Genomic DNA, 22931 nt, shown 5'->3' with positions numbered 1-22931 from the left:
ATCCTTTGTGATAAAAATGCATGGTTTATATGCATAATAATTTTCTATACATAGGAAATTGTTCATTTATTTTTATTTCAAAAAATAAGCACAACATCCAAAGCCCCACAAATCCAAGGCTTTGACATGAAGGGGTAGTGAGAGGAGAGGTGGGCCACATTCTTCATCTAGCAAAGGTAGAACTCAAAAGAGAACATTTCCTTCTTGAGTTGATACTTAGCAAAAACACAGCTTTTAAAATCCATTTGAAAAATTAAAAGTTAAAAACGAGGGGATTAAAAGCAGATATATATTTTCTAAATAATATAAGATATAAATGCAGATAATTTATGGTCCAGACAGCCAAAACATTAAAAAGTGAAGAAGTAAAAATTTTTTTAGGACAAGGGAAAAGCTTACTATTTAAAGCATGTTGAAAGAAGTAAGATTAAAAAAAAAAAAAAAAACCTCAACAGTATGAATCTAATTTCATTTTAAAAATATGTTGTTTATGGAAGTATATATGCGTATATTTATATACACATATGTGTTTGGAAGAAAAGAAACCAACTGTTAGTCTCAAATTGGTGGAATTATGGATAAGTTTTATTTAATTTTTTCCTATTTTCTAGTAAAAGTGTGTATTGCATTTATAATTCAAAAAAAATGACTGTAGAGCTTTTAAATTACAAAGGCTATGGTCAGAACTAGTATTCAAAGGATATTGGGTAAACATAGGTTCTGCTCTGTGCTGAACTAGGATGAATACAGATTTGGTGTTATGGACTGAATGTCTGTGTCCTCTCAAAATTCATATGTTGAAACCCTAACCCCCAATGGGATGGTATTTGGAGGTGGGGCTTCTGGGAGGTAATCATGGTTAGATGGGCTCATGATGGAATCAGGGCCCTCGTAAGGAGAGATCTCTCCACCACACACAGCACACGGCAAGAAGGTGGACACCTGCAAGCCAAGAGGTGACCCCTCACCAGAACCTGACCATGCTGGCAGCTTAATCCCAGACTTCCCAGTTTCCAGAGCTGTGAAAGGTAAATATCTGCTGTTTAAACCACCTGGTCTGTGGTATTCTGTTATGGCAGCCTGAGTTGACTAAGATACTTGGCATCAGACAGTATTATATAGAGTTCATATTGCCATCAACCACCTGGGTGAACTTCGGATTTTACTAACTTTATCTGAAAAAATTCAGCAGTAGCCACCATGGTCTTAAGATCAACTCTGTCTGAACAACTGGACTTCAAATTATCCTGAAACAGATGTGTCCAGTGGTGCCCAGAGCCATGCTCTGAGGGGGATGAAATTTGCCCCGTTGCACTGACATCTGCTAGAACTGTGGGTTGTCTACAAGCCTCTCACGTTGGGGGTTGCCATGCCTCTCTCTTTGCTACTTTGCCTATGGGTTGGGTGAGCTACTCACAGGTAGCAATCGTCAGCACACTGACTATTTTCCAGAATATAGCTTATCATGGAGTCAATATGATTTCCCGCAGATGAAGATATGGCTCTATTTTAACAAAAATAAAGCTATTTTAAAGATAACTTTAAACAGAATTTACTTTAAAACCACAGGTCATAGATGAACTGAGATGTCCTGCCATATGGTTATAAAGTAAAGAAAGAGTTTTTTTTGTTTTGTTTTGTTTTGTTTTTTGAGATGGAGTCTTGCTCTGTCACCCAGGCTAAAGGGCAATGACACAATCTTGGCTCACTGCAACCTCCGCCTCCCAGGTTCAAGTGATTCTCCCGCCTCAGTCTCCCAAGTAGCTGGGACTACAGGCGCATGCCACCATGCCCAGCTAACTTTTGTATGAAAGAGTCTTGGAGTAATTCAGCCATTGGACTGAAGAGACTCCTCCAGGACCCTCTGCTTTAGAGGGCCCCACACAAAATGAATGCCAAAATACCAGGTCACTGTTGTTTGCTTTGTTTTGTGGTTTTGGTCTTATTTAAAAATTTTTCTTTTGAAGATTCAGTAATTTATTGAGCAAAAAGAGTTTATAGGAGAGGGATGCGGCACACACCAAACTCGGACCCACAGGCCAGTGTGCTGAACTAAGAGCTGATGAGTGGGTGTGGGCGTTAGGGAGACACAGGGGAGAAAGGAATTGCAGCCCATGCTTGGGGAATGGCCATTCCAGATTGCTCTGAAGTGTGTGTCTGGACAGGACTATTTCTAACATGACCAAGCTTTCTTCTTCTCATTTGCTAAAAACGTGTGTTGTTTGAAAGGGGCTTAGAACTGTCTAGAAGTTCTTAATCAGCAAATTGAAATAAGGAGGAGAGGAACCTGCTCAAGGAGCACCCTAGCTCCTTGAGGCGCTTGACTGAGTCAGTTCCCAATCCCAGATTTGAGAATCTCCAGTCCTCACTGAAAACCACAGACTTTCACCCAGCTCCACCTGCCTTTGACTCAGCACATCCAGGTGACCATGCAGACTGGCAAGCAGCAGGGCTGGTCCTGGAGGGACTCCAAGGACACCTGTGAGAAGCCTCTACCAGGCTTAGGGTGGGAACACAGTTTGGGCCACAGGCCCTTCTTGGTTTATAACTTTGAAATATTTAGACATACGGTATATGAGACTCTACATACACTCTTGGCCTAGGCCCTGCAAATGTTAGGGTGGGCCTGGTTTTATACACAGCTTATAGAAACTAGTCTACTTTCTTTATAATTGTACTATCATGCCATAGTAGCTTGATAAGAGCTTGAGCTTTGTAGACCTATAAGCTCCACCTTAAATCACACCCTGGGAGACTGTATCCTCCTATCAATCACAAGACACAGCTGAGGTAGACAGACCTCTGGGCACAAGCTAGAAAAGCTGACCTCCATGATCCATGCCACGTTGGAAGGGCAGTCTGAGAAAATTTCTTTCCCCCAATATTTCCTCCAGCCTGTGAAAGAGTATTTTCTGTCAATCCATCTTCATGTTTATGTCATGGTTATATAGCTCCCTTTGGCAAAGTGGCCTTTAAAAGCTCCATAAAAGATAATTTCTGAGAGTTGCATGTTTATTTCTTTGACAGGGGAAATTTATAAGGACTCAAACTGGGACAACAAAAATTGTTGTTTTTACATCAAGTCATGCATGATCTGGGCATCTATGTCATGACTGGTGTAAGGGACCCTGCACTGGAAGGCACAAGGCCCCAGTCCTAATACTGACTGTGTGATCTCGGACTGGCTAGGTGATCTTTAGTGCCAGTTGCTCTACCCATTTTGGACTCAGTTTCTTCAGCTATAAAGTAGAAATAATAATATACTTTCTATCTATAACACAAGGCAGAAATACAAGTTAAATAATGTAATGAAAGTGAGGGCTTATTTTATAAAAAGTGGTATAAAGTGCTTGGAATATGTGTACAGATAGATATATTACTACATATACCAGTGCAGTCCAAAAGAACTTTCTATGGCAATAGAAATGTTCTATATATGTGCTAACTTAGAATCTATTAACCACATGTTGCTAATGAGCAATTGAAATGTGACTGATACAGTTGAGGAACTGAATTTACATTTTCTTTCATATGACTTACTTTTGAGGAACTGAGTTTACATTTTCTTTCATATGACTTACTTTTAATAGCTGTATTTAGCTAGTGGCTGCTGTATTGGATAGCACAGATGTAGACCAGTGGACATTTATTGTATGGGTCTGCTTAGCATCTATTCCATATTTCTCTGGTGACAGTACTTAGGTTTCATATGAAGGGATTATCTCTCATTCATTGTGTGCAGTCTTTGTAGGACTGTCATTCATTGCTCCAGCCCACTGAACACGGGTCTTCAATGAGTCTAGAGACCCTCCACCAAGATTTTGAACTTTGTGTGATATTTTGCAGAAACAGGAAAACTAAAAAATAGAAAGTGACTGGAGCTGATTTGACCCAGAAAGGGTTGTACCTCTGAGATTCTTAATTCATACTCCCATTACCTGGTTCTCCTGGACTTCCCTAGTTCCCACCCCTCTCAAAGCCCAGTTCTTCAATGATTGCTTCTCTATAGGCCACCTCACATTGTGTCTATCAAATTAGTTCCTATTGCTTACAACCAAATACCCTAACCAATATATATGACAATATAATATCAAAATATTGGTGGTCTCAAAGCAGAGGTCAGGTGAATGCATAGAGCATATTTCACAGATCTTCCAAGATTCTTTGAGGGCGAGAAATCTCTAGACTTATTCTACTGTGCCTAAATGGAACTTTAAGATGCTTGTTTTATCTTTGAACCTGAAAAATACTCAAAGTATAAATGTTTAGAGAAGCTGGTGGGAGTGATCCATGCCCAAGTTACTCCGGATCTTCTAGCCGGCCAGGAATGGGTTAGAAATCAAGCCCCTGTATGGAACATTTTCCTCAGGGTGGGACGGAACAGAGACCCTCCATAGGGTCCCTATAGAAATTAAAAATAACATTTTAACTCATGTCCCTGAATTGTTTTGCAGAAACCCAGACCCCAACCAAATAACAATGCTGTCTCCTGGCATGTAGACCTCAGATAAGGGAGAATTGAGGACTGAACTCTGCCATTATTTTCAAATTTCATCCTGGGGGGACTGGGGAAAGTCACACTCACAGGCCAGAGCTAATACTCTTTTCTGCTGATCCCAGACTTTTAGACAAAGCTGTGCCTCCTTATCCAATTGCAAATCAGAAAATCCCTGAATCCATTTATGACCTGTGGGTTGCCACTTTGAGATGTCCCATCTTTTTAGGTCAAGCCAATATATAGCCTCCATTCATTGATTTATGACTTTGCCTGTAACCTCTGCCTCCCTGCCTTTAAAAACACCTGTAAGCCATGGAGGAGTTTGGGTCTTAAGCATGAGCTGCCTAGTTCCCCTTGCTTGGCACCCTGTGGTAAATGCCTCACTTTCTCTTCTCAGTGTTTGGCTTTGCTGTGCTGGGCAAGTGGACCCAAGTTCTGTTTGATAACAATCTCACACAGAGTAGAAACTTAAATCCTTAAAAAGGTACACAAGGCCCTGTAGTTGGAATCTGGCTTACCTTATTAATCTGCAATTTCCTCTCTGAACTGAGGCCCTCCTACTCTCCTTGGGATCATGCTGCTACAGCCACATGAGCCTCCTTTGATGCTCCCCAACTTGCTAGGCATGTTCCTACCTCAGGGTCTTGTACCTGCTGTTCCTCCACCTAGAATGCTCCTCCCCAGATACCCTCAGGGTTCCCTCCTGCCCTCCCCACTTCAGTCCTCCTTGCCCAGGAGTGGGCCTTCCTTGCCCAGCTCATTTACAATGTTTTCTTTTTTATTTATTTTTTCTTTTTTTGAGACTGAGTCTCATTTGTCTCCCAAGCTGGAGTGCAGTGGCGCGATCTCGGCTCACTGCAACCTCCGCCTCTCGGGTTCAAGCCATTCTCTTGCCTCAGCCTCCTGAATAACTGGGATTACAGGCACATGCCATCACAGCTATCTAATTTTTTGGTTTTTTTAGTAGAGACAGGGTTTCACCATGTTGGCCTGGCTGGTCTCAAACTCCTGAGCTCAAGTGATCCACTCGCCTCGGCCTCCCAAAGTGCCCGGATTACAGAGGTGAGCCACCAAGCCCAGCCCCATTTAAGATTTTAACACCCTCCCCCAGCCCACACCTCCTAGTCCCATTTTCTGCTGTTTTTCTCCTTAGCACTCATGATTATCAAGCACTCTGTAAACTTATTTATCTTACTAATGATCAGTCTACCTCCAGCTGGAATATAACTTCATGAGAACATAGAACTTTGTGATTTTTGATCATTACCCTATTACCTTCAACTTAGAGCAGATTCCTGCACATAAGTCATGCTCAATAATTATATTCTCAATGAACCAACCTTTTTAAATCTATAGAAGTTTATTTTCTCTTCCTATTTTCCTCTTTCTCTATGCTATTCTCTGTATTCTTCTCTTTAGCAGCCTCTGTCCACTTTGGACTGATCGCCTAGTTGTAAACTACTTTAGATTACAATAAATATTTTTATATTTGATCTTATTGTGTAAAACTAATGCAACACTATGAATGATATGTGTTTATATTATTTGAGTCCTTTTCAGGTTCTAGGAGGCTATAGTAGCCACTGTTGATACCACAGCCTCCTGTCACTTTGACCCAGCTGAGTTTACCTGCAGGCCAGGGTAGACAATTCCTGGGCTTTGAACAGCATCCCACCTCTGTGTAGCTCCTGGGTCTCTCTTCTCAGCCACCGGGCTTTCTCTGATACCAGGAGAACTCCCTGCTGCACTGTTATAACCAGAATTGTGGGGTTAATGCCACTTGAGGCATCCCTCACCCTGTTAGAGGAGGAAGTGATTGGACAAATATCCCAGCTTCCATGTCCTTTCATGAGATACACAATTTTGTGAGGGCCCCAGAGGGATTGAGCCCCACCTGCCCGTGGTGGTAGCCCACTTACAAATAGACCCTTATTGGCTTTTCTCTCTCTTCTGACCCACATTACCATTTCCTCATTTGTGGTTCTTGGCATCATCTCCCAACTGAAGCAGCTACATGGCATCCCGGTCTCAGGTTTTTTGGTGCAGAGAAGGAGGAAGATGAAACCTGGCAGTTTTCTGCACTCAGTTGGACTGGAAGATCCATAGGTCCTATGAAATTCCTGAGCCTCTGTCACTGAGCAGAGATCTCGCATTTCCTGCACAGGAAGCAGCTTCTGTCCTGAGAGGTAATTGATTGTTAGCGCTGGGGAGGTTTTCTGGGCCACCTGCAGCAAATTTACCATATACTTAATGCAGCTATACTCTCAACCAAACGGGAATTATGGGCCAGGAAGAAAAATCTTAAATGCATCATTGACTTTCAGGTAGCTGTTCTTGCATGCAGTGGTACTCAAGATGACTGTGATGTTCCATTTGGCCTTCCACCCTGTTGTCCTTGACACCAGCAGTCTCTACTCCTGTCCCTTGCTTCCCTTCCTTCTCCTCTCATTTTTTTACTTAGTGTCTAGAAAAGTAAAATCAAGGGATGACAGGACTGAGAATCTCTAGCTTTCCATGGCTGCATCGGATCTGACCCCTAAACGGACTTGACCGTGATTCCTGCCTGAGGTTAAGTACACGTCAACTTAGCAGAGGAAAGAACAACCACATCGATCAAAGCACATTTGAGGGGAGTTTGCCAGAAATGACATCATCTCTGGGCAACGTCAACTTCAGCACCCATCTCCACAGCTGCTACTATCTGCAAAATGCAGTTAAGACTGATTGATTATCATGTCACAGATCATAAATCGGAATTGCAATTCACATGCAGAAGGGAAGAAGCTATCTTACTTGTCATCTCGATGGAAAGTTGCTTTTGCTTAGGATTTATTCTTTTATCTTTTTTTCCCCTGACTTTCTGAATAGGTGAGGACACAGATTTCAGCGTGCCTTTTTTGATCGTTTGGGCTTTTTTGATCTTTTTTGTTGTTGCTTTTTCCCTTTATGTTTTAGGTTAACTCACTGCAAGAGAGGTGGCAAAACGGGGAGAGTTTAAATGTCCGATGCATCAGAAATCCAAGCTCTGATTCAAAGAGACATTCTGATGAGTAGTTTTCAAACAATGATCTGAGAGCCCTGGAGCTCTGATGGGGCATCTCCTGGCCACTGGGGACTGGGAAGGGGCAGTACGAAGCAGCAGAATTCTAGATGCCCGTGCCTGCTTCACTTTACCAATCCTATTTGATATATCAGACTCCCACAAAGAAATTTGTCGCAGGGAAAACAAATAATCCCACTGTTAACATTAAATTTGAAAAACAGTGTCCTGTGTTACATGTACCTAATTGTTTTTATATTTCACAAGGATTGTGTTCTGGTCAGCTAAGGGGAGTGGGCATTTGTTTGTTGCTTTTACTGTTTCAGATTAGTAGCTTTGCTGTGAAACCATCTTCTCCTTCCATTTTCAGGAAATTCTTCCACTGTCATGCTTCGTGATCAATAAGCTTTGCTTCTGAAATGCCAGAGAGAAACAAGATTTTTCTTATGTAGGATTAACTCCCCACAAGTCAGCTTTGGATGGGAGTTGGGAAGCTGCTTAGCTCTTCCAGTACCGCAAACTTCTCTTAGGAATTTAGAATTACAATATGTGCAAGTGCCCTGAAGCTCATAGTTTAAGCTTCTAAAAGTTACTACGTTACCGCAAAATATCTCAAAACACAAACCCTATCTTGATTTTTTTTTAAAAGCACAATGAATAACAAATTTTTTTTTTTTTTTTTTGAGACAGAGTCTCTCTCTGTCACCCAGGCTGGAGTGCTGTGGTGCTATCTCAGCTCACTGCAAGCTCCGCCTCCCAGGTTCATGCCATTCTCCTGCCTCAGCCTCCCGAGTAGCTAGGACTACAGGCGCCTGCCCCCACGCCCAGCTAATTTTTTGTATTTTTAGTAGAGATGGGGTTTCACCATGTTAGCCAGGATGGTCTCGATCTCCTGACCTCATGATCCGCCTGCCTTGGCCTCCCAAAGTGCTGGGATTACAGGCGTGAGCCACTGCGCCCGGCCGTAACAAATATTTTTAACTAGAGTTAACCCAGCCATGGGGTCTCCAGTGCTAAGCTTATTTAAAAAAATACATAACAGCAGCGATGTGAGTGACTGTAGTACAGATAGGTCATGCTACACTAATGTACCAAACAAAACCCAAAACCTCCGTGGCCTAACACAATAAAGGTTTATTTCTCACTTATTCGGTTCTGATGCAGGATGGGTGACTCTCCAGGACAGCTGTCCCTATCTTTCTGTCTGCCTTCAAGAAACCCTGCTCATTACTACTTGTCAAGTCCTTGTGGCCAAGTGGTACCATGTGACCCAAGATTCTTGTAAGTCTCCTCCAAAAAAAAAGTTTAAATTCTTTAAATAAGAGTCTGAGCAGCATGAATACCAGCTGCTGCAATGCCACTGTTTTATATTATTTATGATTGCTATTATTATTATCAGAATTTATAGCAATCATTAGCTAACAGCCACTCTGGATACTCTCAGCCAGCAATCTGTCATTCTTCTCCTTGGTTGAAGGGACTGGAAAGGACATGAGCAGCTACAGAGCACCCAAAGCTCCGGGTAGTCTGTGGTTGGGATGATGCAATCCTCCTCCCAGAGAGCTGGTGAGACCTTGATAAAGGAAAAGAGAGAGAGCAAAGAGGAGCAAGAGCGCATGAAGGAGATCCGACATTGTCAAAACTCCAGAAGCGAAAGCATCAGAGATGAAAGGGCAGGTCACACAAGATCCAGGGCCCAAGGATTTGAGAGGTTTATTGCACCCTGAGCAGCAATAAAGGGTGCTTTATTCACAATAAAAAACAAAAATGAATATGCCGAAAAGGTTTTCTTTTTCCCCCCAAGGCCAGAAGTAACTCTAGCTCCTGATCCTGATTAAGCATTCCTAGCACACCATCACACTTGCCCTGTGACTCATAAACTAATAAAAGGAAGACCTCATCTGGTCAAGAACATAACTGCATAAAGCTTAAAGCCATCTGTGTCACATACCATAATTAACTTCACAGGTTAATTTTAATGACTGTTAATTTATGGGAAACATTCTTTGGGAATATAGATGTTCTGGTCCTTACCTGAATCACTTACAATCCTCCTCTTAGCCCTAATGTCAATGAAATAAAAAACACAATAAGTTAATTGCCATTCTGCGGTTGTGATGACTGTGATATTAATATCAGTACAACCTCTTACATTTGAAGAGTGATTTTTTAATCTTTTTCAAGTACCTATAATCCATCATCTCATTTGATTTTTATGAGAACTCTCTAAAATGGGGCATTGTATTTTATTTTTAGGACTACAAGGTGGCTCCCTAAGGAGACAGGTAATGACTTAGTAAGCTACAAATCTCCAGTGCTAGCACAGCGGCCGACACAAAATAAGCAACCTAAAAAATGTTTACAGACAGGATTAACAAGTACGTGAATGAATAAATGTTATTCCTATTTGAAAGATGAGAAAACTGAAATCAAAGAAAGTGTTATTTGCTTAGGGTCACCATACCACTTGGGGACACAACCAGGATGATATCTCCTAACCTTGTGTTCTTTTCACTCATGCAAATCTTATGTAGAAACACTGCTTTTTATATGTAAGAGCAAAGAAGAAAACATGATACAAAATGCACACAGCACAATCTAATCTCCTAATGAAAGACATTATTCTATTTTTTTTTCAGTCTTACTTCCCATCAGCTGATATGGTGTAAGAGCTAACTATACACCAACTGTACATTTTCATAGTTATAATTAGTGTTTTAATATGCTCATAGGAAACTGATGAACAAATTGCCATGCCCAGACACACAAGAAGTGTCCTGAGTCTTCTAAAGAAACTGACTTTGGTTAAAGGGGTATAGAGGAGTCAGGGAGAGAGAGAGAGAAAGGAAGAGTCAGAGAGAGGGGGAGCTGAAGGAAGGGAAGGAAAAGGAAGAGGGGAAGGGAAAGGAAGAGAGGAAGGGAAAGGAAGAGGGGAAGGGAAAGGAAGAGGGGAAGGGAAAGGAAGGGAAGAGGAGGAAGGATGGGAAGAGAGGGAGGGGAGAGGAGAGGGGGAGGGGAGAGGAGAGGGGGAGAGGGAGGAAGAAGAGGGGAAAGGGAGGGAGGAAGAGATGGGAAGGGAGGGGAGGGGAGGAAGAATCCAATAGGCTTCTTCTGGGCTTGCACCTCTAGCATCCAGTGGCCAGGGACAGGTGGGAGCCCCAGTGCTCACCCTCAGCAAGTTTCAGTGGCATCACCTCCTGATAAACCAGAGCCACTTCTCAGTACACTACCTCCATGGGCAGCTTTAGAGTAAGCTCCATAGTGTGGCATCTCCCTGGGAATGACTTCCTCATGTCCACCAGAGTATAGCCTCCCAGCAGATATCACCAGTACAGTACCTCCCCACAGAGAGCCTCCCCCAGCTCCATAAAGGGGCCTCTCAGTAACTTTTGCCAGAGTGCCATCTGGCATTGTGTATCTTGTATTCAACAGGCCACGCCCACACCCTCTCCAATGAGGTCTGGATCTCAGCCTGGGGATGCAGGTGGGGGGTTGAAAGTGGACTTTGATGACTGTGGGGATTTCCTCTCCTTGGGTGTTCTGCCTCAGTCCTAGCGGTAGTAGCTGTTCCTTATATCTGCTATTACTATATTCCTTGGAGTTCTCTTTGCCTCTTAGTAGGCAATCTCTTGTTATAATTAATCTTTTTTTAATCTTTAATTTTTGTGGGTACGCAGTAGGTACATATATTTATAGGGTACATGAGATATTTTGACACAGGCATACAACAAATAATAATCACATCAGGGTAAATGGAGGATCCATTGCCTCAAGCATTTATCCTTTCTTTGTATTACAAACAATCCAATTATACTCTTTGAGCTATTTTCAAATGTACACTAAATTATTGTTGACTATAGTCACCCTGTTGTGCTATCAAATACTAGATCTTATTCATTCTAACTATATTTTTGTACCCATTAACCATTCCCTCCTTACTCCTCACTAACCTGCTACCCTTCCCAGCCTCTAGTAACCATTGTTCTACTCTCTACCTCCATGAGTTTGTTTGAATTTTTAGCTCCCACAAATAAGTGAGAACACGCCAAGTTTGTCTTTCTGTGCCTGACTTACTTCACTTAACATAATGTCCTCCAGCTCCATACTTGTTGTTGCAAATGACAGGATCTCATTCTTTTTTATGGAATGTGTACCACATTTTCTTTATCCATTCATCCGTTGATGGACACTTAGGTTGCTTCCAGATCTTGGCTATTGTGAATCATTCTGCAATAAACACTGGAGAGCAGATACTTCTTCAATATATTGATTTCCCTTCTTTTGGGTATATACTTACCAGTGGGATTGCTGGATCATATGGTAGCTCTATTTTTAGTTTTTTGAGGAACCTCCAAACTGTTCTCCATCGTGACTGTACTAATTTCCATTCCATAGTGTGCAAGGGTTCCCTTTTCTCCACATCCTCTTTGGCATTTGTTGTTGCCTGTCTTTTGGATATAACCCATTTTACCTGGAGTAAGGTGATATCTCATTGTAGTTTGATTTGCATTTTTCTGATGATCTATGATGTTGAGCACCTTTTCATATACCTGTTGCCATTTGTATATCTTCTTGTGAGATATGTTTATTCAGATATTTGCTCATTTTAAAATCTGATTATTAGGTTTTTTCCTATAAAGTCATTTGAGCTCCTTATATATTCTGGCTATTAATCCCTTGTCAGATGGATAGTTTGTGAATATTTTCTTCCATTCTTTGGGTTGACTCTTCATTTTGTGGATGGTTACCTTTGCTGTGCAGATGCTTTTCAAGTTGATGTGATCCCATTTGTCCATTCTTGCTTTGGCTGCCTGTGCTTGTGGAGTATTACTCAAGAAATCTTTACCCAGACCAATGTCCTGGGTAGTTTCCTCAGGGTTTTCTTTGAGTAGTTTCACAGTTTAAGGTCTTATATTTAAATCTTTGGTCCATTTTGATTTGATTCCTGTGTGTGATGAGAAATAGGAGTCTAGTTTTATTCTTCCGCATAAGGATATCCAGTTTTCCCAGCACCATTTATTGAAGAGACTATCCTTTCTCCAATGTATATATTTGGCTTTGTTGAAAATGAGTCTACTGTAGATGTATGGATTTGTTTCTGGGTTCTCTATACTGTTTCATTGGCCTATGTGTCTGTTTTTATGACTGTACCATGCTGTTTTGGTTGCTATAGCTCTGTAGTATAATTTGAAGTCAGATAATGTGATTCCTTCAGTTTTGTTCTTTTTGCTGAGGATAGCTTTGGCTATTCTGGGTTTTTTATGGTTCCATATACATTTTAGGATTGTTTTTCTCTATTTCTGTGAAGAGTGTTATTGGTATTTTCATAGGGGTTGCATTTAATCTATAGATTGTTTTAGGTAGTATGAATATTTTAACAATATTGATTGTTCCAATCCATTAACATGGAATATCTTTTCATTTTTTTATATTCTCTTCAAATTTTGCATCAGTGTTTTATATTTTTCATTGTGGACATCTTTGACTTCTTTGGTTAATTTTTAGGTATTTTATTTTGTTTTTGGCTATTGTAAATATGATTAATTTCCTGATTTCTTTTTCAGATTCACTGTTGTCATATGGAAATGCTACTGATTTTCGTATGTTGATTTTGTATCCTTCAAATTTACTGAATTTGTCTATCAGTTCTAATAGTTCTCTTGTGGAATCTCTAGGCTTTTCCAAATATAAGATCATAGCATCTGCAAACAAAGATAATTTGACTTCTTCCTTTCCAATTTGGATTTCCTTTATTTCTTGCTCTTGTCTGGTTGGTCCAGCTAGGACTTCCAGTACTACATTAAATAACAGTGGTGAAAGTGGGCATCCTTGTCATGTTCTCGATCTTAAAGGAAAAGCTTTTAGTTTTTCCTCATTCAGTATTATACTAGCTATGAGTCTGTTGTAAATGGCTTTTATTGTGCTAAGGTATGTTCCTTCTAGATCCAATTTTTTTAGGGTTTTATCATGAATAAATGTTGAATTTTGTTAAGTGCTTGTTCAGCATCAATTGAAATGATCATATGGTTTTTGTCCTTCATTGCTATGACGTATGACATTGATTGATTTGCATATGTTGAGCCATTCTTACATCCCAGGGATAAATCCAACTTGGTCATGATGAATGATCATTTTATTGTACTGTTAAATTTGGTTTACTAGTATTTTGTTGAGGATTTTTGCATCAATGTTCATAAGGGATATTGGCATATTGTTTTCTTTTTTTATGCATCTTTGTCTGGTTTTGGTATTAGTGTAATACTCGCCTTGTAGAATAAGTTTTTTGGAATAATTTGAATAGGGTTTAGCTCTTTTTTAATGTCTGATAAAATTCAGCAGTGATGCCATTGAATCCTAGGCTTTGCTTTTCTGGGAGACTTTTTATTACAGCTTCGATCTTATTACTTGTTATTGATCTGTTCAGGTTTTGGATTTCTTCATGGTTCAATCTTGGTAGGTTGTATTTTTCTAGAAATTTATCCATTTCTTCCAGGTTTTCCCATTTATTGGCATATAGTTGTTCATAGCAGCCTGTAATGATACTTTGAATTTCTGTGAAATCAGCTGCAATGTCTCCTCTTTCATCTCTAATTTTATTTATTTGGGTTTTTTGCTCTTTTTTTTCTTAGTCTGCCTGAAGGTTTGTCAATGTTGTTCATCTGTTCAAAAAAACAAATTTTTATTTTATTGATCTTTTGTATTGTTTTCTTCATTTATTTTTGCTGTGAACTTTATTATTTCTTTTCTTCTACTAATTTTGTATTCAGTTTGCTCTTTTCTCATTCCTTAAGATGCCTCATTAGGTTGTTTATTTGAAGTTTTTTGTTATGTAGGTGCTTATCACTATAAACTTTCCTCTTAGTACTTCTTTTGCTGTAGGAGCTGAAAGAAAAGGATGTTAATGAGCAATAAGAAATCGTCTGAAGTTGCAAAGCTTACTAGAAATAGCAAGTACACATAAAAATACAGAATATTATAACATCATACCTGTGAAGTATAAACTACTCATAGCTTGAGTAGAAAGACTAAAGAATGATACACTGGTTTTATCCCATAGAGTTTGGTATGCTGTGTTTCCATCATCATTTATTTCAAGAAATTTTAAAATTTCCTCCTTAGTTTCTTCATTGACCCACTGGTCATTCAGGAGCACATTGTTTAAATTCCATGTGTTTGTACAGTTTCCAAAATTTGCCTTGTTATTGATTTTTAGTTTTATTCCATTGTGGTCAGAGAAGTTACTTGATATAATTTCAATTTAGACTTGTTTTGAGGCCTAAAAAAATGGTCTATCCTCGAGAATGACTCATGTGCTTAGGAGAAGAATGTGTATTCTGTAGGCATTGGATAAAATACTCTATAAATATCTATTAGGTCTATTTGGTCTATAGTGCAGATTATGTCCAATTTTTCTTTGTTGATTTTCTGCCTGGAAGATCTGTCCAATCCTGAAAGTGGGGTGTTGAAGTCTCCAGCTATTATTGTATTGTGGTCTCTCTCTCTCCTTAGCTCTAAAAATATTTGCCTTATATATCTTGGTACTTCAGTGTTGGGTACATATATATTTAAAATGTTTATATCTTCTGGCTGAATTGACCCCTTTTGTCATGATATTATGACCTTTTGTCACTTTTTAGAGTTGTTGTCTTGCAATCTATTTAGTCTGATGTAAGTATAGCTACTCTTGCTCTTTTTTAGTTTCCATTTGCATGGAATATCTTTTTCCAATCCTTTATTTTCAGTCTATGTGTGTCTTTATAGGTGAAGTGTGTTTCTTGTGGGCAACAGATCACTGGGTCTTTTTTTCTTTTTAAATCCATTCAGCCACTCTATGTCTTTTGATTGGAGAGTATAGTCCATTTACCTTCATTATTATTCCTGATAAGTAAGGACTTACTCCTGCCATTTTGTTATTTGTTTCCTGGTTGTTTTGTGGTCCTCTCATCCTTATTTCCTTCCTTTCTGTCTTGCTTTAAATGAAGGTGATGTTTTTCTGGTAGTGTGTTTTAATTTTTTTGCTTTTTATTTTTGTGCACATGTTGTAGGTTTTAATTTTTTTTGCTTTTTGTTTTTGTGCACCTGTTGTAGGTTTTTTGATTTGAGGTTACCATTAACCTTACAAATATCTTATAACCCATAAGTTTTAACTCATGATAACCTAACAGTGATAGCATAAACATATAAGCTAACAAAGAAGCAAAGATAAAACTAACAAAAATTCTACACTTTAACATTATCCCCCTGCTTTTTAACTTTTTGTTGTTTCTAGTTATATCTTACTCTACTGTCTATGTCTTGAAAAGTTGTTACAGTTATTATTCTTGATTGGTTCATTCTTTAGTCTTTCTACTCAAGATAAGATTAGTTTATACTATACTAAACCACTGATAAGATTCAGAATGAAAGTCCCTATTTTATCAAAAAACATTAAGTAGAAATGACTTGCCCTAGGTAATGTGGGGAAGGCAGGGTGGTCATGTAGAGAAGAAAAATCACAACCAACGGAAAACCATTTTTTTAAATAAGATTCAAACTGAATGTAATTAATTTTTATACAGCACTCATAAAATGCACTTGCAGATACACTTAATTGGACCCAAAATTATAAAAACTAAATATCTTATAAATTACTTGACCAGAAAAATGACCAAGAAGTTGCTAGCTTTTAAAATACTCATATTATCCACTGGCAAAAACAGTGCCACCTGCACATTCTCTTTGAGTCTCTTCACTTTTCCATGCAGCTACTCCTCATGTACAGCGCATAACCACAGTTACATGTGTTCCTGCATGCTCACAAGGGACTGTGTTGTAAGAGAAGAGAGCAATGCCAAGGTAGCTTGCAATACATGTAAAGTAGCATAATTTGGTTAACTGCATAGTTCTAAACGAATAGCATATTCAAAAACACATTTTTTCCAAAATTTTCACCAAGGCAGCATATGCCTTTTTTTACCAAAATTAATTGACAAAAGAATTATTTGCCCCTGGATAACTGATACAGACTTTAGAAGAAATAAAATAAGTTTCATCATGCACTAAATGCCTTTAAATTCAAGAAAGGAGCACATAAAATATAAATAAAATTTCACATAAAATATCTTATAGGACTTTCAGATGTTTTATGCTCTTGAAAAATAGGATATGGTTAAACTTTTTAATCCTCGACTTTGTCTCTTGCTCTTCTCCAGTATAATATTGTTATCCTAATATTTTATAACTATATAATGGAAAGAGTGAATGTAAGTGATTTGCTAAGTCATGTAACTAGTGAGTGATTGTTCTGGATATTTACATTGCTCTACAAATCCATTCTTCACCCTTTTCTACCATGTTGCACACGCAGGCAGCTGACTTCCTTGTCTCATATAAATGGATTTTCTTTGTCCTATGGTTTCCAATTGGATTGAGTCAATGAGAGACAACAGGAGGAAAATGCAGGGCAGGAGAAAAGAAAGGTAATGGTGTTTATTCCCTGACTTCCTTCCTGCTCTGCCACAGGTTGACAGCAGCTGGTTTCCTCTACTGGAGTTCAGAAATAAAGGCCAGAAGTGAAAGCCTCAGCCTCCTGTCATGAAGCGCTTGACTACAGTTACAGCTAGAACCACAGCTCTCTCTTATTCCTCATAACCATTCCTTTTCCTTGCCCCTTCATGTCTAATAGTGGTAGTGGCTCTCCACTGTTGCTAGCCCCAGGATACTTTATCATCTCTTACTAGTGTACTTTAACCATCCCTGTATCTGCTAAGACCTTCATAGATCTAGATATAGAAACAGGATTTGAATCCAGGTTTAATGGCACTGATATTAAACCAGGTTCATTATTCGCACACACAGAAAGCCAATCGGTGTGACAACAGGTTTTGTAAAAGAGAAAAGAGTTTATTCACAAGGCTGCCAAGCCTGGAGACAGAAGAACAAATCTCAAATCTGCCTCACTGAAAATAGGGCTTGTCGGGGGCAGGTACTTATGGAATAGAAAACGGGATGGTCTAATGTCTGGGGAATGATAATTGGTGGATAGGAAAGGTAATCAGGGTTCTGTGCAAGCATAATTGAGCAACATGGCTCTTTATAGGATGCATGTTCAGAAAAAGGCAGCACTAGCATGACCTGCAGGTAGAATTTTTGGCCCTCTCATGTCAAAAGATGTCTCTTCAGGCACCTGTGCAAACCCAGGTGAAGGGTCAGTATTCTCAACTGGCTTGAACTGGACAAGAGCTGCCCTCTAGTTCCTGAAAAACAACTTTAAGCACTCATTACTATAGTAACCCATAGTCAGAGATATTGTCTGTAAAGAAGGTAGTGGAAGTTTAGTTATTGTCTGGCTATGTGACTTGCACCTAGACCACTTATAAGTAAGCAGTTAAAAGCAAGCAACACAGGTTAAGTTTGGTGGGCTTAATCAGGTTATTCCTTGGTTTTAGCACTAATATCGGTGTTCTTTCTATTGAACCACACTATACCCACATGCACTGCTTTCACATCCTTTATATGTCTGCCTTTATTGACAATAACAGTTTAAAATACTTCGCTTAGCAGTTACATATTATCTTCAACTGTTTCTATTTACTTGCATATGTGAATCTCATTCCCCAGCTACATTATATGCTACATGATTATGTCTTTTAAATGAATTCGTTATTATCCCCCAGTTTGCCTAGCAGAATCAAGAATACAAAGGATATAATTTTTAAAAAAACACTCGTTGATAGTTTCACGTCTGCACGGTGATGTGAGCAGACCATAGACCCATTTCCCAGTGAAACAACCATAACTGGCAAAAATTACATTTAAAAAAGACAACCGTATAAAGTATTTGAAAATTGTTCTAAGGGCATACAGCAACATTTGTTCAAGAAAAATCTTTTTGAAAATCTATTAAATCTCAGTATGAACAGTAAGAGGCTGAGGCACTTGAACCATGACTTACTCCATCCCTCCTGTATGCCAGTTCAGCTTGACTGAAGCTCATTTCTGCATAACTACAGCTAAAAAGACAAAGCTTCTTTCTCCCTCAGTTCCCAATCAAGGCATGCGGTATCTCACCAGGAGGAGCAGCCCACCAGCATTTCTTATCACCTCCAACACCAAGTTGCAAAGGCTAAATTCCTGGCAAGTGCAGTTGAGAAGTCAGGGACTCTCTTTCTCCACCCAGCCCCAACTCACACTCTCAGTCACAGGGTTGGCAGGTCAAGAATACTGGGTCTCTGACTTGGTCTCTCTCTTGAGGTCTCTCTCCTCAGCCCTGCTCATTTGTAGGCCAAAGAGGCAAGAAAAGAATACCAGAAGCTATGGCTCTGACAAGCACCCTACTCATAATGCATGGTGTCACTCCAAGAGAAGTGGACCACTGTCCCTACCCCCAGCCCTGGAGCAGTAGCTCAGAGACTTTTCTCAGGAACAGAGGTAGTCCACAAGAAAAGAGAACTCCAGTGCTGTTCCCAAAATAACTGTCTTTATTTGAAGAGAACTGTGGGAAAATTCAAGCCTAAGAATGCTCTCAAAAACAATTGGTAATTTTGGCAGTAAACAATTAAAAGAAGACTTGTAGCTCTATGAGAGCTCAACTGTAGGCCAGCTAATTTATCAGACAGAACCAGAGAAAGAGACAGCCAAAAAGAGACACCAGGGGGACATAACAAGCCTCAAAGATTGGCCTCAAAAACTACCCCTATCCAGATTTAATTGGATGAGACTGTGGAGAGATTTATGCCTGGAACATTCCAGGGCATTGTCTAAAACAATAGGGATATCAGCCATCAATCAGCTGAGTTTAAGAGCTGGGTATGATACCACTAGAGGCAGACAGATTAACAGAGAAATCAGAAAAAGAGACAAAGACTCCCCTAATTTAACCAAAGAATACACTGTTATCTAGGATGAACGTGCTCATGCCCAAGGATGTGCCTCTCTGAAGGGCAACATTAGAAACTTCACACTACATGGGAAATAGATGCAACTGAAAGAGTCTAGCCAAGTCACAAAACAAACAAGCAAACAACAACAAAAACAACCCTGAAATGGGGAAGGAAATCAAAATTTAGAGTTGTTACAACATGTTACTTCAAATGTCCAGTTTAAAAAAAAAAAAAAAAAAAGCTTGCAACAAAAAAAAAACATAGGAAAATGTAGCTTACAAACAGGAAAAAGGAAGACAACAAGAATTGCCTGTGAGGGTCAACAGACGTCAGATTTTAAAGATTTCAAAGCAGCCATTACAAATATATTCAAAGAACTAAAGGAAACTCGTGCTTAAAGAGGTAATGGCTGGATATTCTTATCAAATACAGAATATCAATAAAAAGGTAGAAATGATTTTTTAAATAACCAAATGAAAATTCTAGATTGAAAAAATATGCTAGTTGAAATGAAAAACTTACCAGAGGCTCAACAGCAGATTTGAACTGACAGAAGAAAGAATCAGCAAATTCAAAGATAGATCAATAGAGATAATGCATTCCGAAGAAAGTGGAGAGAAGAAAGAGCGAAGACAAATTAATAGAGCTACATAAAAATGTGGAGCACTATTAAGCACACAAACACACATAATAATAGAGGATAATAGTGAGAAAGGAGAGAAAAATAGAAGAAATCATGGCTGAAAACTCTAAATTTTATAAAACACATTTATCTATACATACAAGAAGATTAACAAACTCAAAGTAAGATAATCACAAAGAGATCCATACCAAGACACATTATGGTAAAAATACTGAAAGACAATGACAGAGAATATTTTGAGAGCTACAAGAGGAAAATGACCCTTCACATTCAAGACAACTCCAAGAAGACTGACTTGTCATCAGAAGCAGTGGAGGCAGAAGCAGTGGAATAACATATTCAAAGAGCTCAAAGAAAAAAATAACACCAAAATCTTATATCCAGCAAAAGTATGTTTCAAAGATGAAGGTGACTTTTGAAGATTTCGTGTAGAGGTAATTAAAATGTTCTAAAAAAAAGACTATAATGAGAATTGCATAACTCTATGAATTTTCAAAAAAATACCTCATATACACTCCATGGGTATATGTATATGTGTATATATATAGTAAAATATTTTTATAATAGTTTTATTAGGAAAACTTCATACCATATATATAATTTCATACTATATATACTAAAATTTCATACTATATGTGTGTATGTATATACGTATATAGTATGTATATAGCATATACAGTAAATTATTCATACTGTATACTATATATAAATCATTCACACTATGTATACTATTTATACTAGTGTACTATTCATACTATATTTAGTACAGTATGAACAGTTACTATATAGAGTATGAATAATTTGTATATAGTATATAGTATGAATATATATAGTATAATAATTTCATTTTATATATATATACACACAGAGAGAGAGTGTGTGCATGAAATTATCTTAATAAAGTCATTATAAAAATATTTAATGATTTATTGGCTTGGGATACCTAAGAGTGCCTATGATGCAGTCTTCATATAAAGGCCTCTCTACAATATAACTGAGAACTTTCAATTCCATTATGGTGGCAAAAGACCACAACCATCCATCCCTTCTGATGATTACAACTAAAAATTCTGGACAAAATATAAACAAATAACTACTGGAGAGTTTAAAAAGTAAACAAAAATAAGTGAATTGTGGGGAGGAATTGAAAATTGTGGCAGCATCCATCATGAGTTTCCCATTTTTGTTTTTCTCTCAAAACGTTGTCCTGGGGAGAGGGCTCATATTGTAAAGGAGCACAGTGAAAATGGTGGCAGCAGCCCCGGTGGCTAACACCCTGAGAGGAAACTCTACCTTTGGGCCACAAGAACCAGGAAAAGGAGACTTTGAAGGCCAGAAAACAGGGAGAGAAATTCCAAAATGGATAGCCAGAGTAAAGTACCCATAACACTGCACATGCACTCACGTGTGTCTTTTGTCTGTATCTTCAACTATCCATGCATGGGACAGATCCAAACCAGCATACCAACAGGGTGAAAAGCTGAGCTGACATTTGAACCACCTGCAGTTTTCAGCCTAACCCTAGAAAACCTAATAAAAAACAAATCCAAAAGATATAAACCAAGAGCCCTATATGAATTTACAATGTAATACTAAAAATTAAGATACTACAGAAAAGGCAGCACAGGAGGAGCCTTAGAGGAACAAAAAACTGAGGGAACAAAAGGAACACAAACAATAAAATGGTACGGTTGATTCAAAGCATATCAATTATTACATTCAATGTTAATGGTCTAAATGCCCCAAAATAATAGAGAGGGATTGATAAAGAGGATTTAAAAATCAAGACCTTAGCATCTGTTGCTTACAAGACTCAGTCTTTACATATTATTAGTAGAACATAAATTGATTTTGTAAAGAATAGTAAAAACACAGTTAGCATAAGAAAATTAAAATGGCTATTTTAATGTATGATAGACTTCAAGACAAAGAGTGTTTCCAGGTATATAAACATTTCATAACAATAGAAGTTACACTTTATCAGGAAGACATCAAAATTATTGATGTGAATTTACCTAATAACAGAATCTCGAAATAACATAAGGCAAAAATTGGCAGAATTAAAAAAGAAATAGAGGCTGAGAGAACTGGTAGAGAAGCATAACTAGAGGAGACAGCAGTATCAAGTGTAAGAGATAGTATGGTCTGGCTACAGAAATAATATGAGAGATGATGAAATGTGAGTGAAAAAAATTGTAAATACTAAGTGGCAGATTAGAGACAAGATGGCCAACTAGACACAGCCAGGAGGAACATCTCCTACCGAGAGACTGGGACATTGGGAAGACTAGCACACTCAGAGCAGATCTTTACAGGGAAGGTATTGAGGGTGAACAGAGGGAGGAAACAGACACTGGGCTGAAGAAGAAGAAACGTGGGAGCACTGCACAGGGCTGCTGAGCACCAGGACTTGCCCTGGCTCCCAGTGACTCCTGGGGAAGGGATGAGTTGAACAGGCAAGGAGTGGCTTGTTTTCATCACAGACCTCTGGAATCCTAGCTGCAGGAGATCCCACAACCCCAACAGACACTTGAGCTGAAAGGGAGAGCTGCTCAAAGAAATGGTAGGAGCAGGAATCTAGCCTGTGAGGAGCCCAGAGGGTTTGGTGTGGGAACTTCTACACTGGAGCACAGCCAGGGATGCCTATCCCTCAAGGTTTGCTACACTTCTCTAGGTGGTTTTACCCTTTGGGTGACCATTGGACCTGGACAGACAAAGCAGGGCAATCTTGCTCATGGGACAGGGCCAGTTCAATCTGAGCACCGCTCTGTCTGCTGGCCTTTCCTGGGGCCCCAGCCTGGCCATGCCCACTTACAGTGCAGCCTCAGATGCTCAGCCAGGGTGCTTCCCAGAAGCTCCCATTATAGCTCCTTCACCAGCAGACTACTC

General features: G+C 39.1%; 1 long non-coding RNA gene across 4 annotated transcripts in view; it reads right to left on the bottom strand.

Annotated features, from left to right (window-relative positions):
- Positions 1 to 22931, bottom strand: part of LOC101929492 (uncharacterized) — a 126333-nt gene that overhangs the window by 2547 nt on the left and 100855 nt on the right. Inside the window, exons 1-4 of one of the 4 annotated variants that reach the window (XR_001745865.1) lie at positions 11613 to 11648; positions 9573 to 9601; positions 7292 to 7952; positions 6463 to 6677 (exon numbers count right to left, since the gene is read on the bottom strand). This is a non-coding gene — a long non-coding RNA (uncharacterized LOC101929492). Of the gene's footprint in view, positions 1 to 6462; positions 7953 to 9572; positions 9602 to 11612; positions 11649 to 11835; positions 11874 to 22931 lie in introns of those variants that run through there. The other 3 variants (XR_247156.3, XR_247157.3, XR_949649.3) reach the window with 3 other exon arrangements.

Source organism: Homo sapiens, chromosome 8 (assembly GCF_000001405.40).
Source record: "Homo sapiens chromosome 8, GRCh38.p14 Primary Assembly".
Taxonomy (NCBI): Eukaryota; Metazoa; Chordata; class Mammalia; order Primates; family Hominidae; genus Homo; species Homo sapiens.
Note: the sequence above shows the minus strand (reverse complement) of the source record. Positions and strands in the feature narration are given on the sequence as shown.